The 24,302-nt window shown below is 41.1% G+C and overlaps 1 protein-coding gene across 13 annotated transcripts, besides 1 other annotated feature; it reads right to left on the bottom strand.

Moving 5' to 3' along the window:
* Positions 1–6,230: 6,230 nt before the first annotated feature.
* On the bottom strand, positions 6,231–24,088 carry SCML1 (Scm polycomb group protein like 1). Of its 13 annotated transcripts, none has more exons than XM_047442348.1 (8): positions 24,016–24,088; positions 16,997–17,145; positions 15,677–15,760; positions 15,118–15,201; positions 11,712–11,816; positions 10,923–11,322; positions 9,250–9,401; positions 6,231–7,958 (listed from the first exon to the last, which is right to left on the bottom strand). In XM_047442348.1, the coding sequence occupies exons 2-8, from the start codon at positions 17,027–17,029 to the stop codon at positions 7,824–7,826; spliced, it is 993 nt and encodes a 330-aa protein (XP_047298304.1). In that variant the 5' UTR covers positions 17,030–17,145; positions 24,016–24,088; the 3' UTR covers positions 6,231–7,823. The 13 variants fall into 13 exon arrangements, with proteins under 13 accessions (XP_047298304.1, XP_005274635.1, NP_001032629.1 ...); XM_005274578.3 differs by lacking the exon at positions 24,016–24,088 and adding an exon at positions 23,536–23,723; NM_001037540.3 differs by lacking the exon at positions 24,016–24,088 and adding an exon at positions 23,536–23,723 and having other exon boundaries at positions 15,118–15,198.
* Positions 10,232–11,431: an enhancer, noted in NCBI's record as "MED14-independent group 3 enhancer chrX:17767905-17769104 (GRCh37/hg19 assembly coordinates)". NCBI's record gives its function as "activates an origin of replication core promoter dependent on BRD2, BRD4, P300/CBP and CDK7 cofactors, and independent of MED14, by STARR-seq in HCT116 cells {active_cell/tissue: HCT116}" and the evidence as "EXISTENCE:reporter gene assay evidence [ECO:0000049][PMID:35650434]".

Here is a 24,302-nt window from a genome sequence, read left to right as displayed (position 1 = left end):
ACCTGCAGTGCTGTGCCTGTGGGGTCCACATGTGCTACCCACGCCCCAGCTCCAGGAGTTGCAGCCACCTCCTTGGCTAGGGTTTGCTGGGTGTTTTGGTAATTGACATAACCTGAAGGAACAACGCAAGGGGTGCAGCATGGCCATGCCCCAAATGACCATACTACATGGCATCTGAAGACGCTGTGGATTGTAAAACCCATCCAGATGTCAGACATGTTCATGCCTGAGAAAAAAAGAACATCTTAGAATTGATGATGTATGTATTTTCTCAATCCAGCTTCAAGGGTCTGAGAGTTGTAGAAATATTTCCCAGATGGGCAAAAGCTTGGCTGCCCTTCTAATTTTCAGGGGTACCCTGTGTTCTGGTCATTTTCATTTTCTGAAAGGTATTTAGTGAGAAGTCGAGAGTCAGTGACTCAATGGCTGCTAGTAAGATGTCATGTTAAACCAGTTTTTAATTCTCTTCAGAGCCACACTGTCTTCCAATAATTCCCTCTTTCTTCCTATAGTTTCAGTGCTTGACTGGCTGTATGTAAAACACAGAAGTGAAACCAACCAGAAAATAATCCAAAGGCCAAATGGCACCTTATGTCAGTCATTCACTGACACTTGTGGAATGGCTCTGTATGTGTTTGCTACTTAAAAATAGCCTCAATCTGATTCCCAGGATTACGATTCTATCAACAAGTAATTGATTCCTGATGGCCAGAATCAAAGCTGGTGAAACTCACTGCCCTCATGAAGAGTTCATTCTAGTGGGGAAAGACATCCAATATGCAAATAAATAAACAAGTGAATGAATGAATGAACCGTGGCAGGAAATGTATCAGTTACATCTCACCACATTTTTGAGCTGTGGTAATGAATCCCCAAATCCCGGTAAGTTACAACTGTAGACACTACTTCTTGCTCACATAATATGAAGGAGGCCACAGGATGACCTTGGCCCAGCCCCAGCAGGCCTTCTTGCTTGCTCCAGAACCCAGTCTGAAGGGGCAGCCCTGTCTGGCCAATGCTGTGCTCACAGCCAAGGGAGAAGCATGTGACAGATGATCTCTCCCATGGGAAGGCTTCTGCTTGATGTGGTGCTCTTCAGTTCACTTGTGTACCTCCTGAATGCCAAAGCAGGGTTCAGGGCCAAGTGCAACAATGGGCTGGGCAACAGAGTTTGCCTTCAGGGAGAAACTGCAAATTCCATGGCAATGGATGGGAAGAAATATTCTTTGCAGGGAAGAGTTGATTGCTGGGAACAATAATCTAAGCAGCCATAAGTTTAAGTGACATAAAGAGAATATATCAGGGAAGGAGGCTAAGGGGAGCCAGGTGTGTGAGTGTCCTGGGGTTAGAGGGGTGCCACAGAGAAACTGACAAACTTACAAGAGGGATGAACAGGTGATGTTCTGATGTTAGGAACGTGATGTATAGTGGAGACTGCTGGCTAGTTACCAAAGACCCATTTCCTCGTCTTCCTGGGTACACAGACTTTTCCTGGCCACTGTTACAGTGAGGTGTGGCCATGTGACTGAGGTCCAGCCCATGGAATGGGAACAGAAGTGATGTGTGCCCTGCCACCAGGAGTCCAAGGACCCCAAGGCCCTAGGGATGGTGGAGCCACAGACAGAAGGAGCCTGGGTCCCCAAATTACCATCCGGCAGAAGGACATCTACTTCGGATCATGAGCGAGTAAGCTGGAGTGCAATGGCGTGATCTCGGCTCACTACAACCTCCGCCTCCCGGGTTCAAGTGATTCTCCTGCCTCAGCCTCCCAAGTAGTTGGGACTAGAGGCGTGCTCCACCACTCCTGGCTAATTTTTGTATTTTTAGTAGACGAAGTTTCACTATGTTGTCCAGGCTGGTCTCGAACTCCTGACCTCAAGTGATCTGTCCATCTCGGCCTCCCAAAGTGCTGGGATCACAGGAATGAGCCACCGCGCCTGGCCAAAAACAGGGATTTTATGGACTTCGGAAACCCACAGGTAGTGACTTCATAGTGATGTTCATGGTGATGTTGACCTAGGTGGACTCTCCTGGGAGAGAGAGACTTCCCAACATGGAGAACGGTGTATATTGGCAAATATGAGTCATGAGGGGCTTCTTCAGGTGTATGGAAGAGGACGGTATATGGGGAAAAAGAATGAAAAAGGAACTGAATCCCTTTGTCTGAAAAGCAAACACAATTAGAGAGGTAATAACTGGAATAACCAACTGAGAGAGTGCTAACAACTTTGAAACCACCAGGCCTTGTACTTGGAGGAATTCCCCAGAATACCCTAGAGGTAGAGGCCCCTTTGGAGAGGGCAGAGTGTAGAGGAGTATGGGTGAAGGGATGAGGGTCTTCCCTTTCTGACCATCAATTCCTCCAGGAAAGCAGCATCAGATTCCACCAGACACTGATGAGTTTCAGAAATACCTGCCATTTCATTCAACAGAATGGCAGACCTGCCACCCTGCCATTTATCTGGATTTGTGTCTTCAAGTCTTCCTGTTTTCTACACGCCTCCCAATTATTTACTGACAAAGGAATGAGTTGATCCTTTGTCCTGTATTGTTTTTCATCTATTACTTCAAACTTGTTTCCTTTTCAACCACAACAGGAAGAACAGGTGCTTCTCAGTTGTAGGTGGCTTAGCTGTCTTTGGCTAATACTAAGAAACCTCAAGCAAGAAGTCTAAATATTAATCATTAATTTACTGAAATCCTCTGTGTTGTGAATGTTGCTCGACTTCAGACACCTCTGAAAAGTATAGAGAAATTTGTCTTCATGTTCTGCATACTTAAACTTTTTATTATGGAAAATTTCAAACATACATGATAGTAGAGAGATTTATATAATGGATTCCCATGTATGTATCACTGGCCACAACAAATACCAACATAAGGCCAACCCTGTTTCATCTGCATCTCCTTCCCTGTTGGATTATTTCAAAGTAATCCCAGATATCATCTCATTTAATCTGCAAAGTTTTAATAGGATACTTCCAAGAGATAGGGGCACCATCTTTTCAAAATATAATTATAATACCAATTAGCACCATTGTTAGAAATTAATAGCAACTCTTCAGTATCATCTAATATCTACTGGGTATTCACCTTTCCCTGGATTGTCTCATGTATTCGTTTTTCCTGTTGTTTTCTTTTAATCAGCATCTAAACGAGGTCTGTGCATTGCATTTGGGTGACATGCCTCTTAAGACTCTCTTAATCTATAATCATTCCAAGTTCCCCCTTTTTTCCTTGGCTGGATGCAAGGAAATCGTTAAATGCCTTGCTAAATATGATGGCTTCATCCTAGTACTAGTTAATACCTAAAGAAAAAATACACATTTGTGGTAAGGCTTTTTACTTAAGACAATGGATATAATTTCACATTTCAAAGTCTCCTTGGTAATTGTGAATTTGGGGCAGATCTGATTAGATTGCTTTTGTTTTAATTTGTATTAGTCTTCAATTCAATTAGTGCAATTTGTTTGCATTAAGCTTTTAAAACCGCCTGTTCAGCTTCTGAGAGCTAACATTTTATATGTCTTAAGCCACCCATCTTTTCACGTGTTAACATCTATGAAATCAGTTTGCATTTTATAATCAATGGTGAGTGATAGTTTAATGTGTAGCATTTTCTTTACTATTAAACAGTGGTGCATCTTACAATCAAAGAGGTCTTAGATTTGATGAAATATACTAGTTTACTTAAACTAGATAATATAAAGGGCCCTTTCTATGGAAGTTTTACTCTTCTTTCTGAACAGTGGGCCTGTACAAGACAGATATGCCGAAGAAGGTAAACAAGTCCAGGTCTGGTCAGGAACATAGGAGCCATTCTGAATCTTCAGAATGGAAATGGTTTAATACAGAATCAGAAGCTTATATGGCTCCTGGAAGGCAGGGACTAAGGCAGGGACTGAGGAAGTTTCTAGAAATCCAGGACTGCAAGAGTCACAGAGAAGCTCCCCTGCCCCCAGTGGTCTCAGCTGCCTGCACGACTGAAGTGGGTGAGTCTCAAGGTGATATCCAGAGGCTGCTGGCAAACCCCACATCTGCCTCCTGCTGATGCTCAAAAGCCTGTCCTGTGCAGCCACCAGAAGGAAGCGGCTTCTCCTCACCTCCCTCCTCCCCAAATCAGGGCACAGGGTCTCTTGGGGCAGAATCTAAGAATCCAGGTCTACTGGCAAAGGAGTGTGGCAAGTGTCGCGTCCAGGCTTTATGCCTCTAAGGACAGGGAGGAACCGAGAAGGGCTGGGATGGTGGCAAGTACCAACAATGTTCAGCCCTTTAGAACACATCAGTGACTCCGTACATTAACTGCAGAGAAGCTTAATCTTTTTCGTCTTACATGAATATAAAAGGAAGTTGTAAGATATGTGTCCTGCTCCCAATGGACTGATTTCTGCCCCCGTGGAATATGTGCACCCACCTCGCCCCTGACATCAGTGGACTTGGGCCTCCAAGGCTAGCCAAAGCCAGGTGGAAGAGTGAGGCCAAAGGAGGAACAGGGCTTGGCAAGGCCAAAACCCTGCCCTGGCCGCCCCGTTGTCCCTGAGGGATTATTTCCACAAATGCATGTGCTTAAGTGCTTCAGTTCTATGGCAGGAGAACAGGACACACCACTACTGATACATAAGGACACGTCACTTATGGGCACTTGGCACTGACTCATATGCTCTGTCATAAGTGCCCTGATGTTCTCCTTTTCATGAACGCTGGTTTGTCTGTTATGTTCTAGGCAGCTCGAGGGGAGGAGCTAGGTCCCTTCTTTCTTAAAGATCTCCCCTCAATGCTGATAGTATCCCTAAAGGCAGAAAGGTGATCCCATAACACTAGAGTTGCCTCTGTTAGAGCAGGGGGAGTGGCCAAGCTCAATTTGAGCACATGCTAACTATGGAGTGTCGTTCTTAAGGTTTAGTGGCATCAACCTGCTGACAAAATAGGGCAAACAGCCAGAAGAGAGGAAGGACTGTCCGCCACGTATTTCAACGGTGGGCTCTTGCTTGCACATCCTCTCAAACCTAAAGCTCTCCCACATTGCCTGGATCAGCCTCAGGAGACTTTGTGAGCAAGCCCCAGCATCCAGCTATAGCCCCAGAAATTTTAACCTACTTCATGTACTCAGCCAACTGCGAGGACAATCCTTTCTGCAGCTTGAAAAAGCAGTGCTTTTCCTCCCAATTACACTGCCACTACTCACAGTATTTACTTTTTACTTTTGACTATTACAGAAGGGCATGGTGTTTCTATGCCTACAGAGGGAGGCCTTGGTTTAAAAGTTTAGGAAGTCCCACTCCAGAACATTTACTGTAAGACATTTCACCAATAAGAAATCACATAGACGAAAGACCAAAGCAAATGCTAGGTGTTCCTGGAAGGTCTTAGAGCTCAAGATGCAGAATTCTGCAGGCTACAAAGCATCAAAGGATGGAATGAGAGGCAAAGCTAGAGGAAGATCATTTCAAGTCTGGAAAATTCACAAGAAGGGTAATATGGCATGATAGTCTATGGACTAAAAATTTATAAGCCAGATAGGAGAAAAAAAGGAGCCACGAATTACTCAAGTCTCAGATCACTCAAATTGACACCTCTGTTCCAGTCGCTGAGCATCACCCCTGGAGCCTCGGTCAGGGCCCCATTGTCTCCAGTGAATCACAGGACACGCTGCTGGGGAACAAGAGTAGTGAGGGTTTCTGGGTTCCTCGGCTGGAGCCGCAACTCCTGGTGTGGGGGTAGGGGTTGGATAAGTGAGGCTATGCAACTGTAACCCCAGTCCTCCAAGGGCATCCCACCGGGGCAGCTGGGCCATCTGAAGGCAGAGGGCCAAGAGCAGGTGCATCCAGGAGGCGGCCTCTGGCCCCCAGTGGTAAAAGAGCAGCCGGAGTTGCCAGCCAGGCGTACAGGCTCAGATGGGATGAGGTATCTCGGGGCACGGGCATTTTCTAGCACTCTCGCATCACTGATGATATCATAAATAACAAAGGCTCTGAGTACAGATACAGCTCATCGACTGAACTTCTTACAGCCCCCCTGGGGTCTCATTGAAGACCCCTGTAAGAAATCAGCCCTTGGCTCTTAGGCATCTGTTTAGCAGTAGAATCTGGGCAGGTTTTAAAACTCAAGTATTTGGACATGGAAAGCCACAAGCTTACTAGAGTGGCTCTGTTTCAGTTCACACATTACAACAAATACACACATTAATGTAATACAGTGATGATAAATGAAATCACATCTGAGGCTTTCAATGAACTATTGTGATTTAACTTTATTAATATTTTAAAATATGAAAACTGTAAAACATAGTATTTATGTAAACACCTGAGGACTGTTCAAGTGGGTACAGCATCTTCATACAAACAATTTGAAAGAAGACCAAGTTTAAGTAAGAATCTTATGACATGTAAGGAATAACATTGATGAAGCTATTCTTTAAATAGTTGCATTCATGTCTAAAGTACATTTGGCTTTCTAAAAAGAAAAGGTACATTCTTGCATCTGGTGAACATTTTCTTGACATTACAGCAAATAGCTAATGGTGATAGCACCAATTCTCATAGCTCGTAAACCTTATATTTGTTACACAATGTAATAACAAAGTTATAAATTTATAACAAAATAATAGTGTTGAACATGTTTCCCTTGAAAGTTCTAACTTACAAAATAAAGCCCCCAAAGATTAGTCTGAATTAATGTATCATTCAAAGTGTAGCAGGATTAATGGCTCAGAATTAAGCAAATTAATTAGAAACATTGCATAGGACGGAGAACTTCCCTGTATGGAAACCAATCTACAGATTGTTTCTTGTCCTCTAAAAAGTAAGTTGAGAGGTACTAATGATGGCAAATAATCCATTTATATTTTACAAAATAAAACATTTCACTAATATATGGCTCATCCTACCTCTGTGGCAATACAAAATGCCATTTCAAATTTTTTTTAAAAAGATTGTGTGAATACTTCGGGTGAGAATAAAATATAAAATACTATCTATATAAAGAATAAACACATAAAATACAGTTATGCCTTTTAAAAGTTTGGACAGACGTATCTTCATAGAGAGATGCAAACAATGAAAGTGTAGTTATAGGTCCAAACTTAGCCAAAATATGACAGTTTTAATATAATAGTTTGTTTGAAAAAAAGTAGTCAGACTTCATCCAAACCACCCTTGCGGTACAATATTTCTTGCATAAAATAACCATTCTATCTATCCTATAGTTTATCTTAAAACTGTTAAGAGCACATAATAAAAGTTTATATGCTTATTTTTTACTCTAAATCTGAATAAATAAAACATATAGAGAAATAATAGCAGAAAGGAAAATAATTTATATGGCTATTCTCTTTCTGGAAACTTGTAGAATACTGCAACATCAGACAGATAAAATACTCCAGAAAGAGATATATATGGGTACACCTTTAAATTCTCTTCTGAGGAATAATTCCCATAGATTCAATCATAGGAGTTGTCAACCCTGATAATACCTCTCTTAGCTGTTTTGGTTCTCTGTATCGAGATGAACCAGAATCAAAGGGTTTTTTTTTTTTTCTGTTTCTTGCATGAAATATATTTGTAAACAATATAATAAAAGTAATTTTTAAAGACCTATAAAGAATGAATTTTCTATTGGACTATTCTAATACTATCTAGCAGTTTAAATGGTTTTTAAAGAAGTAGACTGGACTATAACATAGTTCTACAATTCTAGCTATAATATATTTTGAGAGATACTTTCTACAAAACAAAAACGACTAAAGGGCAGAAAAATGATTCCACACTAAGAAGGCATTGGTGCCTCTAGAAGTTGGCCCAATCTAAATTTGCACAAGGATTTTTTCAATTTTCAAAGCATTTTCCTTGTTTAAGTCGGTCAATGTAGTAGCATAGCTTCACAGCCGTTCCCAGCTTCACCCCCAAGTGCTTCAGCAACACGTCACTCGTGAGTAGGAGCAGAGCCTTCCCGTCAATTTCCTATGGAGAGAAGAAACTTAACGATAATTAATAATGCTTCCATATTTTCATCAGAATGGTTAGTTCTTTATGAGAACATGTAAAGCAAACTAGAGAGCAGCTCATTGCAGATGTATATTCTCTGAATATGCGTCTACTTTATGAAAACTATTAAAAATATAACTTGTACAGTGAAGCACCGTTTGGTAATGTATAAACTCATTTCAAGTTCTGAGAAAAAGGAAATTTAACATAATATCTTAAAAAATAAACTGTGTCAAACTTAATTTTAAATATATACTGTATGTTGAATAAAATACTACACATCCATGACAAAATAGTAAAGACTATGAATAGTAAAAATGAATTTCAGATGTTCATTAACTTTCTGAGAAGGGCTGGGAAGATGAGTACGTCAACATCAGTGCAAACTGTAAATGTCTATACAATGTTGTCTTTATGATGAATGCCAATTAGTTGTCTGAAACTAATTAGATGCTAAAACTAATCACCAATTTTCTTACTATATTAAAAATCAGATATGTGGCTACTAATTTTGTTAGGACACACTGTGAAAATATCTGAATAAATAAAACATAGTCACAAAGCATTCTCCTAAAATTCCTTATCTTAATTGATCAACTTATGCTGCTGAAGCATATGATTTGGTTTTATATGTTCCAGTTAAAAAATAAAATTTTATTTACTCATTTAACACTATCTGAAAAGGTCTGAAATCCCTTATAGTACAACCTTTGTTTGGCACCTTCTATACTTTTTCTACTAAGTAAAACTCAAAATTAAAGAAACTAGAACTTACAAAACTTCGGCCTAGGATATTACTTTGTAAATGGTCTGATAATAGCAAGAGGGTATTAGCATTACAAATCATCAATAATCGAGGCAAATGGAATCAGTTGTTGAATCACTGGTTATATAAAACGAAGGCCACCCTGTTATAGCTTGTGGTTACCCCCTCCTCCTCGTGGTCCTGGTGCCCAGCTGGGAGCAGATAGGGGGAGGATCTTTGTATCTGTCATTACAAAGGGGAGGTACACCTGAGTGGCCATGCTGAATCATCATGTCTTAAGAAGCTGAGGCAGTTTGTATTTTAGGCACTTCTACACCCATTTAAAGAACAGACCATTAGCCTACCATTTAAGGCTAACCTTGGGCAAAATAAGCTTTCTCATATATGGAAAAATCAGCTAATAGGGTTCTCCCACCATTCACACAGTATCCAACTGAAAGACCTGCACAGAGGTCATTCAAAGGCATTACAGCAGGAAAACAGGATCAAAAGATACATTACATGGCTTCTGAAGAGGTCGACAAGAGGGCATAATGCAAGAGGATCTGTTTGTTTTAGAAATAGGACCACTGCTTCCACCGACCAGGTTGAAGGGTGCTTAGTGATGCTTCCTTCCTCTATGTAACCGTCATTTTCAACTGGTGACCTTGTAACTTCAATGGAGAGGGGGAAAAGAAAAAAAAGACAAATCACACTCGACCTGATCATTATCCTGAAAGAAGAGATGTTAGGTAAGGAGGAATGCTCTCTTTGTTGGAACCTTCTGTGATGTTCCTAGCAAGGAGTCAAGACTCCAACTGTAAAATCTAGTGAAAGCCTATATAAAGATGATGTGGGGATGCCTACACAAGAGTGTCCCATCTGACCTCCCCTAAATAGCAAAAGCTGGTTCAGAAGTTACATTAAAGTTTCAAAGATCACAAAACAGACTAAGTAAACCAAGTCTTCTTTGGCCACAGGCAAATATGGCAAAAGATCTGTCACTTGGGTAAAATTAGGTTAATCTAACCTAACCTATGACTCTCTTCAAGTATTTCAAGGAATTTCTCTCTTAATCTATCTAGATTAGGTTAATTTTACTAGCAAAATATAATGGAAATTCTCCAAATTTACAGTTTTATAATTGCTTAAATTTGTTCCTTTTAATCAATGAATCTCAATAACAACCCCATTATCTTTAAGAACCAAATTAGTACTTTTATCAAATCTTCCCCACGTATTCAATAAGGTTATTTTTAGTATCGCTTTACTTTTTAGATTCCTGTCTCTCGTGGCTTAAGTGCTAATGTGCATTGTGAAGAAAACAAGATTATTTTCTGCTGAACTAGGTCAGAAGTAACTAACATTTTATTTAATTCCTCTTTCATGTTTAATTGCATAGTAATAGAGATTTTGGTCAAAGGTTTATATGTTTAAAAAATAACTGAGATATGAGACAGTTTAACTGCTCATACTTCAGAAAGTTTTAGCTATGCTCTACACTAAGTTGTGTTGAAATTTCTTTGTGTACTGACAAGTATCCTTTTACTCACCCACAGTGTTAGACTCCCTAAAATTAGTGTGTGATGACTAAAGTGGGTTTTGTAATTAGTTAGGAAAATTTGTTTCTCCAACCAGGACCATCAACACAATTTGATCTTTTTGTGTGTGTGAATTAGCCAAAAACATACCCTTTCTTCCCTACCATCTGGGCTCTTGCCATATCAGGAGTGTTTTTTATTTATCTAGGGAAAGGGTAAATAAAAATAGAAGATTTGGAAAAGCACAATGGGGCAGAGTTCTAGAAGTGCTACTCACCAGCTCTGTGATCGTGGGGATGGCGTAATAAATGTGCCAAAACCATGGGGTCATTATGAGTATAAGTGGAGAAGAGGCATGTCAGCTGATTGGTGCAGTGCCTTGCACATAATATGCATTGAATAAATGTTAGTCATCATTCTGAATATCACCTAAAACCAGCCCTCAAAATAGGAAACGAACAGCTTCCACTAGTTTGCATCAAGGATGTTGATAAATATAGGTCAAATAGTGCTACTTGTAAATATGGCATTTCAAACTCACCAAACCAGAAGGGAAGCAGAGAGATGATCCAGTATACCTATTCTCCATCAAAGCTGAGTAACTCATCATCTCAGGGGCATGTACCAAATTGGGCTCTCCCTGGGCCAGCATACCTGAAGGTGGTGCTGCAGAAGCATGGTCAGTTGAGTAAGTGTTGTGGATGCTGTCAGCCCGAGGGTTGCCAAGGCAGAGCCCTGAAGAAGAACCATACGTTGCACCATCAGATGCATAATACGGCTGACAATTATGCTCAGAGAAATCTGAGGGATGCACTGGACTCGGAGTGCGGCTGAGGATCGGGTCCTCCTCCAGCTCAGCTCGCTGGTATTCTTCCATGCAAAAGGATGGCCTTGGAAGGTTGCTCGGGGAATTATTCTCACGCCTTGACACTGGTAAAGTGGGGCTGTAACTTTCAGGGTAGGAGAATGTCTCGTAAACCTCATTTTTCTTCATTTTCTGGAGTTTAAGCTTTTTAACAAGCCGGTAAGAATGCTTTTTATATCCATATCGCTTCTGAAATCACACAAACACAGCATAAACCAACAGTGAGTAAAAAAGTAAATAAAATTAGTAGCAAATACATTAATACTTATTTTCCATGCAACATTGCTTTACATTATTAAAAATAAATGGTCCCTTTTGATTATATAATTCTTCAATCCTACATTTTAATTGTATTTTACACATTATAATTACAAACATAAAAATAGGCAGCATCATAAATTATCAAACCTAAACTTCAGCGTTCTCCCAACAGAGTTTAGTCTCCATCTACTGTTACAAGTATAGACATGCCTTGCTAATCTCACACAGATACTGGTACTCTCTCACTTCTAGCTCATTGGCATCTTTACAAACCAGAGGTTTATCACAGTTGTAAAAATGTTTTTTATAACACTTACATGATTTGTCCACAGGGATCTCGCATGGAAACGTTGGATTTTTGAAACCTTTCTACGAATCACATCAATCTTCTTATCCAGGTTTTGCAGAGCATCATATATAACCTATTATAATACAATGTAGTCATATAATTGGTATACAATGTAAAATATAATTTTTTATTTCAAAGAAAAGTAACGTGAAAATACCATTAAGTCAAATGTTAACTGCTAGACACAACAAAAGTTCTCAAGCCATCAGAAATGTCTTGCTCCTATTCAAGGCCTGGCTGTAGGTGACACAGAGCCAACAGGCTGAGCTAGAGTAGTCCCCTCCCCTGCTCTACTCCATGTAGGAATTGAGGAAGCTCTAATGCTGGTGAATGAATGTCCCACAATGCCTCTATGCTAGCACATTGATGATGAAGACACTGCACATCAAGGAAGGTGCTATTTTAGGAAAGAAATCTGCTAAAAGAACAAAGACTCACTTTATGATATACATATGTAACATATATGTTCATATATGTACAAATATGAAGTCTATATTATATACAGACAGTGAGTGTTCCACTCCAGAAAGAACACTGAACCAAATATAACAGATGTGACTTTTGGCTTCAAAGTATTTTTAAATCACGCAGTCAGCAATTAATCTTACAAAACCGTTAAGTACACATCTCTTACGCGCCAATCGAACACATAGGAGACTGATAAAAGTCTGAGAATTCTTCTTGAAATACACAGAGACTTTGGGCAAAGAAAAATACACTTAAGCAAAGGGCCAGAAACATTGCAATCAAGCACATAGGAGGCTGATAAAAATCTGAGAATTCTTCTTGAAATACACAGAAACTTTGGGCAAAGAAAAATACACTTAAACAAAGGGCCAGAAACATTTCCTCATTCATTCATTCATTCATTCATTCACTCATTCAACTAAACCTTTATTGATGGCCTACCACCTGGCAGAACTACTTTGCTAGGTATTGAGAACATGGACCGAAAAAAAAAGCTCCTGGCCGGGTGCGGTGGCTCATGCCTGTAATCCCAGCACTTTGGGAGGCTAAGGCAGGTGAATCGCTTGAGCTCAGGAGTTGGAGACAAGCCTAGGCAACATGGCGAAACCCCCGTCTCTACCAAAAATACACAAAATCAGCCAAGCGTGGTGGTGCATGCCTGTAGTCCATGCTACTAGGAAGGCTGAGGTGGGAGAATCACCTGAGCCTGGGAAGTTGTGGCTGCAGTGAGCCATGACTGAGCCACTGCACTCCAGCCTGTCCTAGAGGAACTACCATCTCAGCTGGGAGAGAGACAAGTAAAAAGAGGATTCCAGCAGACAAAGTGATAAACAGCCTGGAACAGTGGTTTGCAAAGTGTGGTCCACGGACTGGTAGCATCAACATCACCTGTAAGCTCATCAGAAATGCCAAATGCCAGGTTGTACCCCAGACCTATGGAACCTGGAACTCTGAGAGTGGGGGCAGTGGTCTATGTTTTCACAAGCCCCCCAGGTGATTCTGATGGCCCTAGTGAGAACCACAGGGCTGCGGCACTGAGATAAACAGTGCAGGCTCTTGGGGAACATGGTTGGGGTCAAATACTACAGTCCAGCCACTTATTGGCTGTGTGACCCAGGGCAAGTTACTTAACCTCTCTGTGCTTCAGTGTCCTCATGTAGGGAATCAGGATGAAAAGCTCTCTCAGGGTTCTCTCGAGGACGAGAACCTTGCTATAGTATTAGGTTAATACTAACAGTAACAGCACTACACTACACCCGGTCCAACAGTGCTCAGTGGTCTCTTCATGTTACTATTGTTATTACCAGTGGCGTGACACAGGTGGGAACAGGAGGCTAAGCCTGCACAGAAAAGCAGTCCTAACCCAGGCTGCAGTCACGGAGACCTTTTCAGAGGAGGTGAGGTCTGAAGTGAGAATTAAAACATGAGAAGGCCCTCGCCAGGTGAGGATGCATGGAAGGGCTTACAGCATAGAAGGAACAGCAGGTTCATAAATACCCAGAGAGAAAAACAGGAAGCCAGGTGTGGAGACAGCAAGTATGAATGACATTCCAGGAGTGGGGCTGTCACAGGAAGAAGAGAGTGAGGATGACAGGAAAGGAGGGATGGGAAGCAAGAGAAGTGGCTTCTCCAAGATGTGGGAGAACTCGTAGAGGGGAAGGAGGGACAGGGACTGGAGCCAGAGGAGAGAGAGGGGGATGCCCGATGGGGGGCAGCTCTGAGTTCAGGGAGGGGACTAGATGCAGAAAGCAGCAAGGGTGTCAGCCCTGGTCACTAGAATGGCCGGGAAGGGGTCAGAAGAAGGGCAGGGATGAGGGCAGTTGGTTGGCTGTGGGGACAGTTATGAGGACTCGGAGGAGAGGACTGCCCCAGGTGCTCCACTATCTCCACGAGTGAAGAGGCAGGACTAGGGAGCTGAGGTAGGCAGGGGATGGCGAGGTCTTCCTCTGCTTCCAGACTAAGCAGGATGGAGACAGACTCAAGAGGGAACTGGGATGAAAGAACAAGGCAGGCTGGAGTGCCACCTCTGTGATCTAGAACGGGTAGGGGAAGAAAGAGCCAGCCCCTTGGCAGCAATGGAGAGGGGCCCTTGGGGCCATTTCAGGCTGACCATGGCCCTGGACACCTCCCCCCACAGATGCTACCTCCCACCTCAGCGTATAAGCTGACCTAGACCATGACCTAGCAGTGCATGGGGAGGCAGGCTGGGGAGAACCTGCTCCCTCCCTTCCCAGCTCGCCTCTGCACCCACTTCCCCCCAAGACTGTATGTGTCCCTTGGAAGCACTCCACTTCTGTTCTCCTCCATGATCATGATAAACACCCAAACAATTTTACTTTCCAAAGTATGTTAGCTCATTCCATTCAAGAAACCTTATATATGGTAAGAAACATTATATATATATAAACCTTCATTACCTCTGGGGTATGCAACTCACAAAATTCCCAGTAATCACATCTCTACCAACATGGTGATTCTTAAAACAACTCCTCAAAACTACCTTAGGTATGTTTCTTTACTAAACCTTGATGGGCTGCCACTTTGTTTCCATTGAGATATCTTGATGTGCATTTAGGCACATACTAAATTTCATCCAAATCAGTCAATTTCCTTTAAGGATTTTGTAGGGGAAACTAATTTAATACTGAGCAATGTAGATGAAAGAGACATAACTACATTTGGTTGGTAATGGGCTTTTTAAAAAGCTATTAAATCTACATGTTGCTATTCAGGAAATGTGGTTCTAACTATAAATTGTTTTAAAAAATCATCACAATGGGATGATAATCATAAATAAATTGATAGGCAAAATTTCAATTAATTGTACACTTTCCCTTTATGTGAGATAAAGAGAATTTTTGCTTAACATTTTAGAAAACTACATTGAAGAGACAGAACTTCCATACCTGGCAATGAATAAGGACATCATCAACTGTCTTCAGTTGCTCTTCAGTATTACAGGATGCGTCAGATACAATATTCGGTTCCTGCTAATATTTTAAAAGTAGTTAATGATTTATTTCTGTAACAGCCAAACTGAACACTGGGGGCAGGGGGGAGCTATATTTATTTATTTAAATTGTTTTTATTTATCACCAACTTTTCAAGGGGTTTCAGAAGTCTTAAATTAAGCAGAGATTTTTAAAATTCACATTAATATGAGAATGAAAAACTGACAATTGAGGAAGGGGGCAAGAAAAGAATTTATTATATCAGAAGAATCCAGGTTTAGAGTTTTATACTGAAAGTGAGTACAAAACTGCTCTTAATTTTCTACTATATAAGAAAAAGGGGAAAGTAAATTGGTTAAGTGCTCATTCTCTGATGAAAGCAAGCATACAAATTCAGGGGAGAGATATTTTCTTGAGTGTGAGTTTACGGGAACTCCATAGTATACGAGGAATTTACATCTTTTCCTTTAAAACAGCAAATGTTAATATATTTGGCAATTAGCAATTAACATACTTTATTGACAAATTCAGGTTTTGTTTCATACGCATAAAGAATAGTGTTGTCATCTTCATCGTAAGTAGGTATTCTTGTTTTTATCTGAGGAAAATTTACCAACAAATTAAAAGGGAAGATGAAAGACAGAACTAAAAGAAAAGTTGAGGGTTTAATTTCACTTTCAAGAGGCTGTTACAAAGGCCTATTTGTGATATCAAAGGACCTTTGCTCACTGTAAATACTATGACTACATGAAAAGATGTATTTGCAGAACTGTGTTCTCATTAACCCAACTACACTTAAGACAACAGTTTTCACTGAGCTTAACCCTTTATATGCTTCATGGTAGAAAGACTAGTCCTTTAGCACCAGAAATACTTTAAAAGCAAATATTTCTAACCATGAACAAAGAAATAAATGTTACATGTTTTTTGATTTCTAAATAATCCAACAGTGCCCCTCTGTGGACAAGACAGAAAACATTTGAGCACCTATTTTTCTTGATACATTAATCTCTAAAGTACCTTAAAACTTTTAAAAATAAGACAGGGTATAAATAAGTAAGGAGTAAATAGCCATTACACTTCAGTATAATAACTCTTCATTCTAAGAATGAATTATGAACTATGGGAATAATTTTATAATAAACATACTTGGTAGCTATGTATGTTTTTGTTTCAAAATACATGACAGAAATCACAAAAACATATGGAATTGGGTTACAGTTCAGTACTTTTAAAAATATACTATCTTACCCTTGTATAGTGCCTTATGCTTTTCAAAGTGCTTTTACATAGTTATGTCAGAGAAAAATGACTCTTGATAGGCAGTTAACATTATCTCCAAAGATTTTTGAAAAACATTAGGACTGACAGTAGTTAAGAGAATTGCCTAGACTACTTAGGTAGCATTAATATCTATGTCCTTATGTGACTAAAAAAAAGGTGTTTTCTGTTAAGCCAAATTATTTATAGTTTAATAATCTACATACTGATTCAACTTGAAGGATGAAGAAATATAGAAGAATATAACAGAAATGTAAAAACAGCACAACCACTTTGAAAAACTGTATGGCAGATTCTCACAGAGTTAAATTCACATGAACTCCATGACCTAGTAATTCAACTTCTGTCTGTTCACCCAAAAGAAATTTAAGTGTGTGTTCACAAAGAAACTTGTACACAAATTGTCACAAGAGCTTTATATATTACTGTTAAAATATATAACAAAAATTTACTTATGATCTATGCATTTCACTGTATAAAATTAAACTAAATTTAGAGTAGAAGTATAGCACAGTAAAAAGAACAAAGACAGATTTTCAATTTGAATACAAACCACATCGATTTCACTGGAGCTGTTAGACATCATTTTTGTGCAACAGGAGAAACTCCACTTCCTCTGAGTTGGACCTAATTATTTTTAAACTTGCTGGAGGGTTTATTTGTGATACTGCTTAGTCACCTAAGAGTGGTAAACCTCTACTCCTGAAAAGCAACGCATAAAAAAGTTACTTCATACACTTACTACCTTAATAATATGGATATACTCTCAGAATGCTAACTCAAATAGAATTGGACTTTGGGTTGAATTTTAGAGAGTGACAAAACCAGAATTCTTCCATGGCCAATTTAGAATAAATCTTTCAAAACTGAAGGGCCATATTGCTCATGACTAGAAATAAGAATCAAATCAAACACAATTACAAACTGTGAAGTGACTGCTTAGTAACTTAAAGCCTACAGAGTAAATGCTGGAAACAAATGAACAAGAGAACGCAAGGGCTAACTGCTTTTGTAAAGGAGCTCCAAAAGGCTCTTGACTAAGGAGAAAGCATTGCCTCCAAAATGTAAGCCAGGAGTCTATTCTGGATTGGGTCCCCCCCGACTATGTGGGCTGGGCGGACCACAAGAGACACCACCTCCTCATCCACCAGGTTTCGAACACCAGTTGAGATGATCTCTAAGGTCCATTTCAACTTTCAAGTTAGGATTGCCTTATTAAATTTTATATTAAACCTAAATAAGTGGATGTGAAAGGTAAGCCAAACAATCTAAAATTAGGAAGGTTTGGTTATGGCTCTGAGTCACTTTACTATGGAACTAGAAAACTGGCTGCAAGAGTATCGGATTATATCTTGTACTAGAAATTTGCTTTGAATGTCTGCATCACAGTTACTGGGAAGGGTACGTTAATGAAAGAGCTACCCTATCCTTTCTGAACCAGAGCAGTAATGAGAGGCACAATTAAGAGATTCAGGTTTCATCTCTTTCCTGTTTCCCTTTCATTCTATAGTGGAGATACTAATGACCATGAACCCAAAAGACAGAAATCAAAAGGGATAAAGAAGATGGGAGAACTAACTCGAGTTAGATAAACGCAGACTAATGTTGCATAGAAGTATCAAGTTATAAAATACCTCTCTAATTGGGGCTGTAACTTCAATCAAATTTCACTTTTTAAACTATTTGAGTTTTCTGACCATAAAACTTATACAGGCTATCAGTAATTAAATTGTGGTATATTTATATAAAGGAACTTCGCAGCAATAAGAATAAACCAACTACTGCTGTATACAGCAAGGCCGAATCTCACAACCATAACCTTGGGTTTAAAAACAGCCAGAAACAAAAGAGTACAGTATATGACTCAATTGATATTAAACTCAAAAACAGGCAAAACTAACCTGTGGTGGAAAGAGTCTTTCCAAACCAGTACTTTTAGGTCTACTGTAGTTACTGTAACGACTTCTTAGTGTTCTATCTTGTAAATATGCCATGATTTATTAAACACAGCCCCCAATTCATAGATATTCAAGTTACTTCTAAAGTTTTGCTCTTATAAAGAACACTGCAGAACAGTCTTGCACCTGTGCAAGTAGTTCTATGGGATAAATTCCTAGAGGTAGAAACAATGGATAGGTCTCCACGTTTGAAAATTCTCCTCTACTTCTTCCCACTAAGGAGGGCTGTTGGGGTCAGCCAGATGTTCCAAAATAAACTAAGGTAGTATCCTGCTGGTCCTGCATGTAGTTTTAAAACCAGGACAGATAATACATAGTACCAAATAGCTTCTTGGCATCAGATGACTAAGTGACTTTTCTCTTTTGATCTACTGATGCAACATATTAATACATTTCTTAATGTTCTTGGGGTGAGGGGTCCAGCTGATTATAAACAACAACATTCAATTTGTTGGTGTTTTATTTAGAAATTGTTTGCATCTCTATTTCTAAGATCTTACATTGGTGAGATGGTATATTTCTCACAATTAATGAATCAGTGTTGTATTGCTACATTATTAACACTTGGTATCAAAATTGCTCTGCAAAATTAGCTGGGAAGCCTTTCATCTCTTTCTATACTCTAAAAAGTTTACATCGCACGACAATTTTTGTGCTCAAAGGGTTGAATTTATAAAAAAAACTCTCTGGGTCCAGTTTTTATAACATTTTCTAAGTTCCTCCATGGTTGATGATCTAGTCAAATTATCCTACTTTTTCTTGAGTTGTTTTGACAAATTATTTTTATCCAGAAGGATAATCATTTCATCATAATTACAGAATTTTTAGCAAAACCACAGTTTAAAATTATTATTTCTAATTTAATTTGTACTTTCTTTTGATTCTTTGATTAGGTATTCTATCTTGCTAAATTACTGACAACCCTGTGGGATAGGTTCTATTACTGTCCTCATTTTCCTTATGAGGAAACTGAAGCAAAGAACGTTTACTAGGGGTGTCCAAGGGAGGGAATATAGTCATGGGTTCTTAGTTTGTTTCTGGTTGGGCCAGGAAAGCCCCTTCCTCATCCCTCTTTTCCACTTATCCCTAGAGACAGAAACTAAAAAGCATAGCTTCAGGCTGCCGAAAGCCTAAAACAAAACAAAACAGAACAACAACAATGACGACAACAACAAAATAAGGCGGGTTGGACAAGCTTGATTTAAGTAATTTGCCCAGGTCCCATTGCTAGTAAATGGTGCAGTCTACCACCACACTCTATGCACTTTACTTCATTATTAAAATCACCTGGTATACCTTTGCTACCAATAACACAGTAAAATCCAAACTCCTACCATGGCCTGCAAGGTCCTTCCATAATCAGGACCCCGCCCACTGCGCAGAGGTCACTTCTTACCACTTGCCCCTTTACTCTAAGCCAGGGGTCCCCAACCCCTGGGCAACCGCCTGGTACTGGTCCTTGGCCTGTTAGGAGCACAGCAGGAGCTAGCAAGGATTATCGCCTGAGCTCCGCCTCCTGTCAGATGAGCTGCAGTATTAGATTCGCACAGGAGCACAAACCCTATTGTGAACTGCACATGCGAGGGATCTAGGTTGCACTCTCCTTATGAAACAGTTTCATTAGGAAACTATACCCCGCTAGCACTCCCCCGTCCCTGCATCTGTGGAAAAATTGTCTTCCACAAAACCAAAACCGGTTCCTGGTGCCAAAAAGACTGGGGACAGCAGTTCTAAGCCTAAAATATTTACTGTGTAGCCTGTTTCAGGCAAGTTTGCAGACAATGGTTACAAGCTCTTACATCCAGAGAACAGAGAACTCCCTATTTGGATTAATAACAATGTTGTCAAAATTTGGCTGTAGTTAGACACAGGAGCACTGTGCAGTGAGTCCACCACTGGACTCCCAACATGTTTACATCTCTGGTACATATACAAATCAACACCAATCTTTCACTCTTTGAGCTTCTCGCTCCTGTTATGCCCTCCGTCCATAATACCCTGTTGTGTCTCCGCCTAGGAGAATCTATTCAACTTCAAGGCTTACTTCAAGTTTCACCTCCAAAAAGCAAGGGCACCATGCCAATGATCATCCCATGTGGATGTGACACGGCTTTCCCTGAACTACAATAACACTCACACTTTAATACTTCTACGGCAACTGTCACACATATCTGGTTACATGAGAGGCAGCATCAAACAGCATTAAGACCTTAGGCTTGTGGTCAGAATACCTGGGTTTGGGTCCCACCTCCCCCACATACTAGCTGTGTAAGTAAGTTGAACAACTTACTTAAATCCTTTTTTTTTTTTGTCTGTAAAATGGGAATGATAATAGCACATACCTCACGGAATCGTGAGGATTAAATTAATACATGTCAAGTGCTTAGAGTAATGCATGGCAAAGATAGCAAGGGCTTTTGAGTATTGACCGCATCTATCCAACAGAACTATTTCTCAAGGAGCACATAGACAACAAGCCTGGGTCATAACGTCATTTTCATTCACATTGCACCTGAAGTGAGTTTTTATGTCTTTTAGGTACCAGGGTATGATGCAAGGAGCTGGGCTTTAGTTATAAACACTTGAATCCAAGTCCAAATTGCCAAATTTGCCGTTTCACTTTAGGCAAATATTTCACCTCTCTGTGCCTCAAATTTTCTAACCTGTAAAGTTGGAATAATATCTACTTCACAGGGCTATTTAGGCCAAAAATTACACAGTTAAACTCTCAGCATCATGCCTGGTTCATAGTAGACACACCATAAATTTTAATTCCTTTTCACTTCTTCCCATAAGGCAAACAATTACAGCTTTACAACATTGCCTTAGAGCCCAACCATGACTAGAATGTGCAAAATTAATTTCATTTTTAAATCTCAAATCCCACAAAATGAGTTTACTTAAAATGAAACTCATTTATATTTACCACAGAAATCTAAATTTCTTTTTTTTTTTTTTTTTTTTTTGAGACAGAGTCTTACTCTGTCACCCAGGCTGGAGTGCAGTGGCATGATCTCGGCTTACTGCAACCTCTGCCTCCCGGGTTAAAGCAATTCTCCTCCCTCAGCCTCCCGAGTAGTTAGCGTAACAGGCTTGCACCACCATGCCCAGTTAATTTTTGTACTTTTAGTAAAGACTGGGTTTCACCATGTTGGCCAGGCTGGTCCCGAACTTCTGACCTCAAGTGATCTGCCCACCTCGGCCTCCCAAAGTGCTGGGATTACAGGTGTGAGCCACCGCGCCTGGCCAATTCTTGATAACACCATAAATTTAAGTTCCTTTTCACTTTTTCCCACAAGATAAATTACAGCTTTACAACATTTTCTCAGAGCCCAACCATGACTAGATTCTACAAAATTAATTTCACTTTTAAACCTCAAATTCCACAAAAATGAGTTTAAAGGAAACTCATTTATATTTACCCCGGAAATCTAAACTCTTGATAATACCACACATTTTAGTTTCTTCTCACTTCTTCCCACAAGATAAATAATTTCAGCTTTACAACATTTTCTCAGAGCCCAACCATGACTACACTGTGCAAAATGAATTAATTTCACTTTTAAATCTCAAATCCCGTAAAAATGAGTTTACTTAAAATGAAACTCACTTGCATTTACCACAGAAATTTAAACTCTTAATTACACCATATACCTTAATTCCTTTTCACTTCTTTCCATAAGATAAATCACAACTTTACAACATTTTCTGAGCCCAACCATGACTAGATTGTGCGAAATTAATTAATTTCACTTTTAAATCTCAAATCCCATAAAAATGAGTTTACTTAAAATGAAACTCACTTGTATTTACCACAGAAATTTAAACTATTCATTACACCATACACTTTAGTTCCTTTTCACTTCGTCCCACAAGATTAATTACAGCTTTACAACATTTTCTCAGAGCCCAAGGCTAGATTGTGCAAAATTAATTAATTTCACTTTCAAATCTCAAATCTCGTAAAATGAGTTTACTTAAAATGAAACTCACTTATATTTACCACAGAAATCTAAACTCTTGATAACATAAGAACAAGAGGCCGTCTGATTTTCTAAAAGACTTTTTTTAGACATTAAAGACATTTTCAAAAGTCGTAAATATTCGCTCCGGAGGCGCAAGGCTTTCACCTGCCATTAATTCATCAGATAAGGCACAGCTCACAATGAGGCGCCACTCCCACCGGGACCACTTTGAGGAACACACAGCAAAACGCTCTGTTTGTTTTAAGAACAATCACTTTCTAAACCTTCCTGCGGGACTCTCAAAGGCAGCCCTTCCTTTGCCGCCAGAACCGCATCCCATCGCCCAGCACTTGCCGCAGGCCGGACAAGTGAGGCCCAAAAGGGCACCCAGCCCACGCCCCGCTTTAGAAAACACCGCGCGGCAAAGCTGCTTGGAAAATCGCTATCTTTTAGTCAACCTGAAGCCAGTTTGCCGCACTCGGGGAGAGCCGGGGAGAGGAGGGAGGGACGCGATCCGCCACCAACCAAATCAGGGCCTTTCCTGTTAACGACCACGCGGCAAGGGGGCCGGGCCCTCGCACGCCTCGACGGCCTCCCCCACTCCAAAGGGACTCCGATTTCGCAGGATCTCCCGCCTCCCGCCTCTGCTCCCAACACCCTACGTTTTTCTCTTCCTCCTCATTTACGTATTTACAATAAAACAGCGAAGCTGCACAGTCTGTCTCTAAATCAAACGCGGTTACCATCAAAGCCTCAGACTCTATGTCTCAACCGCAAAAGGTCTGACAGGAAATCAACTCGGGAGTTTGTCAATTCTTTAAACTCAAAGCTCTGTTAACGAAATCTGGATCCTTCCTCGCTCCCCACCTGCCTCCCCTGACAGGAGAATGACTGTAAAAGGATCCTGTCGTCCCCGAAAGTCAGCACCAAGCACTTCACAAATTGTCAAATCTCAAAAGCTTACACGCGCGGGCACTCCGGAAAGGCTGTGGGGACCACCCAAAGCACCCCCCTCCACACCGCGGCTGAAATTGGAGGCTGCGAAGTCAAGACTCGCTCTTCCCCGCAAAGCAAACCCTCTCTCCTCAGGAGAGCCCCGGCCCCTAAGCCAAATCGTGTATTCCCGTGACGGAAAGTTCAAGGTGAGGAAAAAGTACGACTGGACAGACCTATTTTAGTGACAGAGCCTGTCACGCCGGCCTCCGGAGGTCGCGGTAAAACTGCTCGCAGTAGTCCTGCCTCTCCGATGGGCGACAGCTGTGACCGTTAGGCCACTCGACGCTTCGGAAAGGTCCTGGCACCGGAAACCGGGCCTGGTCACGCGCACGCGAGACCAGTGATGCCCTGACCCCTGAGTGGATCAGAGAGCTCCCGCGACGCCGAATTCCCACACTCGCGGTTGGGGGGGGGGGGGGGGGGGGGGGGGGCGGGACTACCCGCTGACCAATCGGAGTCTGGCCACTGACAGGCGTCACCGTTGATCGGCCAATCCGCGGGTGCTCTCCCAGTCCTTGGGTGAGGGCGGGAATTTGCTAAGGAGATGGCTGTGGGGCGGGGCCGAGGGCGGGAATTTGCTGAGGAGATAGCTGTGGGGCGGGGCCGAGGGCGGGAATTTGCTGAGGAGATGGCTGTGGGGCGGGGCCTCTTACCTCAGGTTTTCCTTCGCAAGACCCGCAGGATTGAAAATGGACGTTAGGCCTTTCAGAGACTCGCGCGCTGAGTGGTTTCTGCGGCTGCGCAGGAGGCTGGCGCGCATGCGCAACCCTTCTAGTGGCGTTGTAGTTAGGGACGTGGTGTCCCCCCTTCGTTGTTGGGGTGTCCGAAGCTTTTTTTTTTTTTTAATGTGATCCCGCCCCTCCCCCGCGCTCTGTGACGCACCAGAGACGTCGTCGTAAACTGGGTTTCCTGGACGCACGCCAGTGATTGACTTGGAATG

Source organism: Homo sapiens, chromosome X (assembly GCF_000001405.40).
Source record: "Homo sapiens chromosome X, GRCh38.p14 Primary Assembly".
In the NCBI taxonomy this organism is placed as follows: domain Eukaryota; kingdom Metazoa; phylum Chordata; class Mammalia; order Primates; family Hominidae; genus Homo; species Homo sapiens.
The sequence above is the reverse complement of the archived record's forward strand: the minus strand, read 5'-3'. Positions and strand labels throughout refer to the sequence as shown.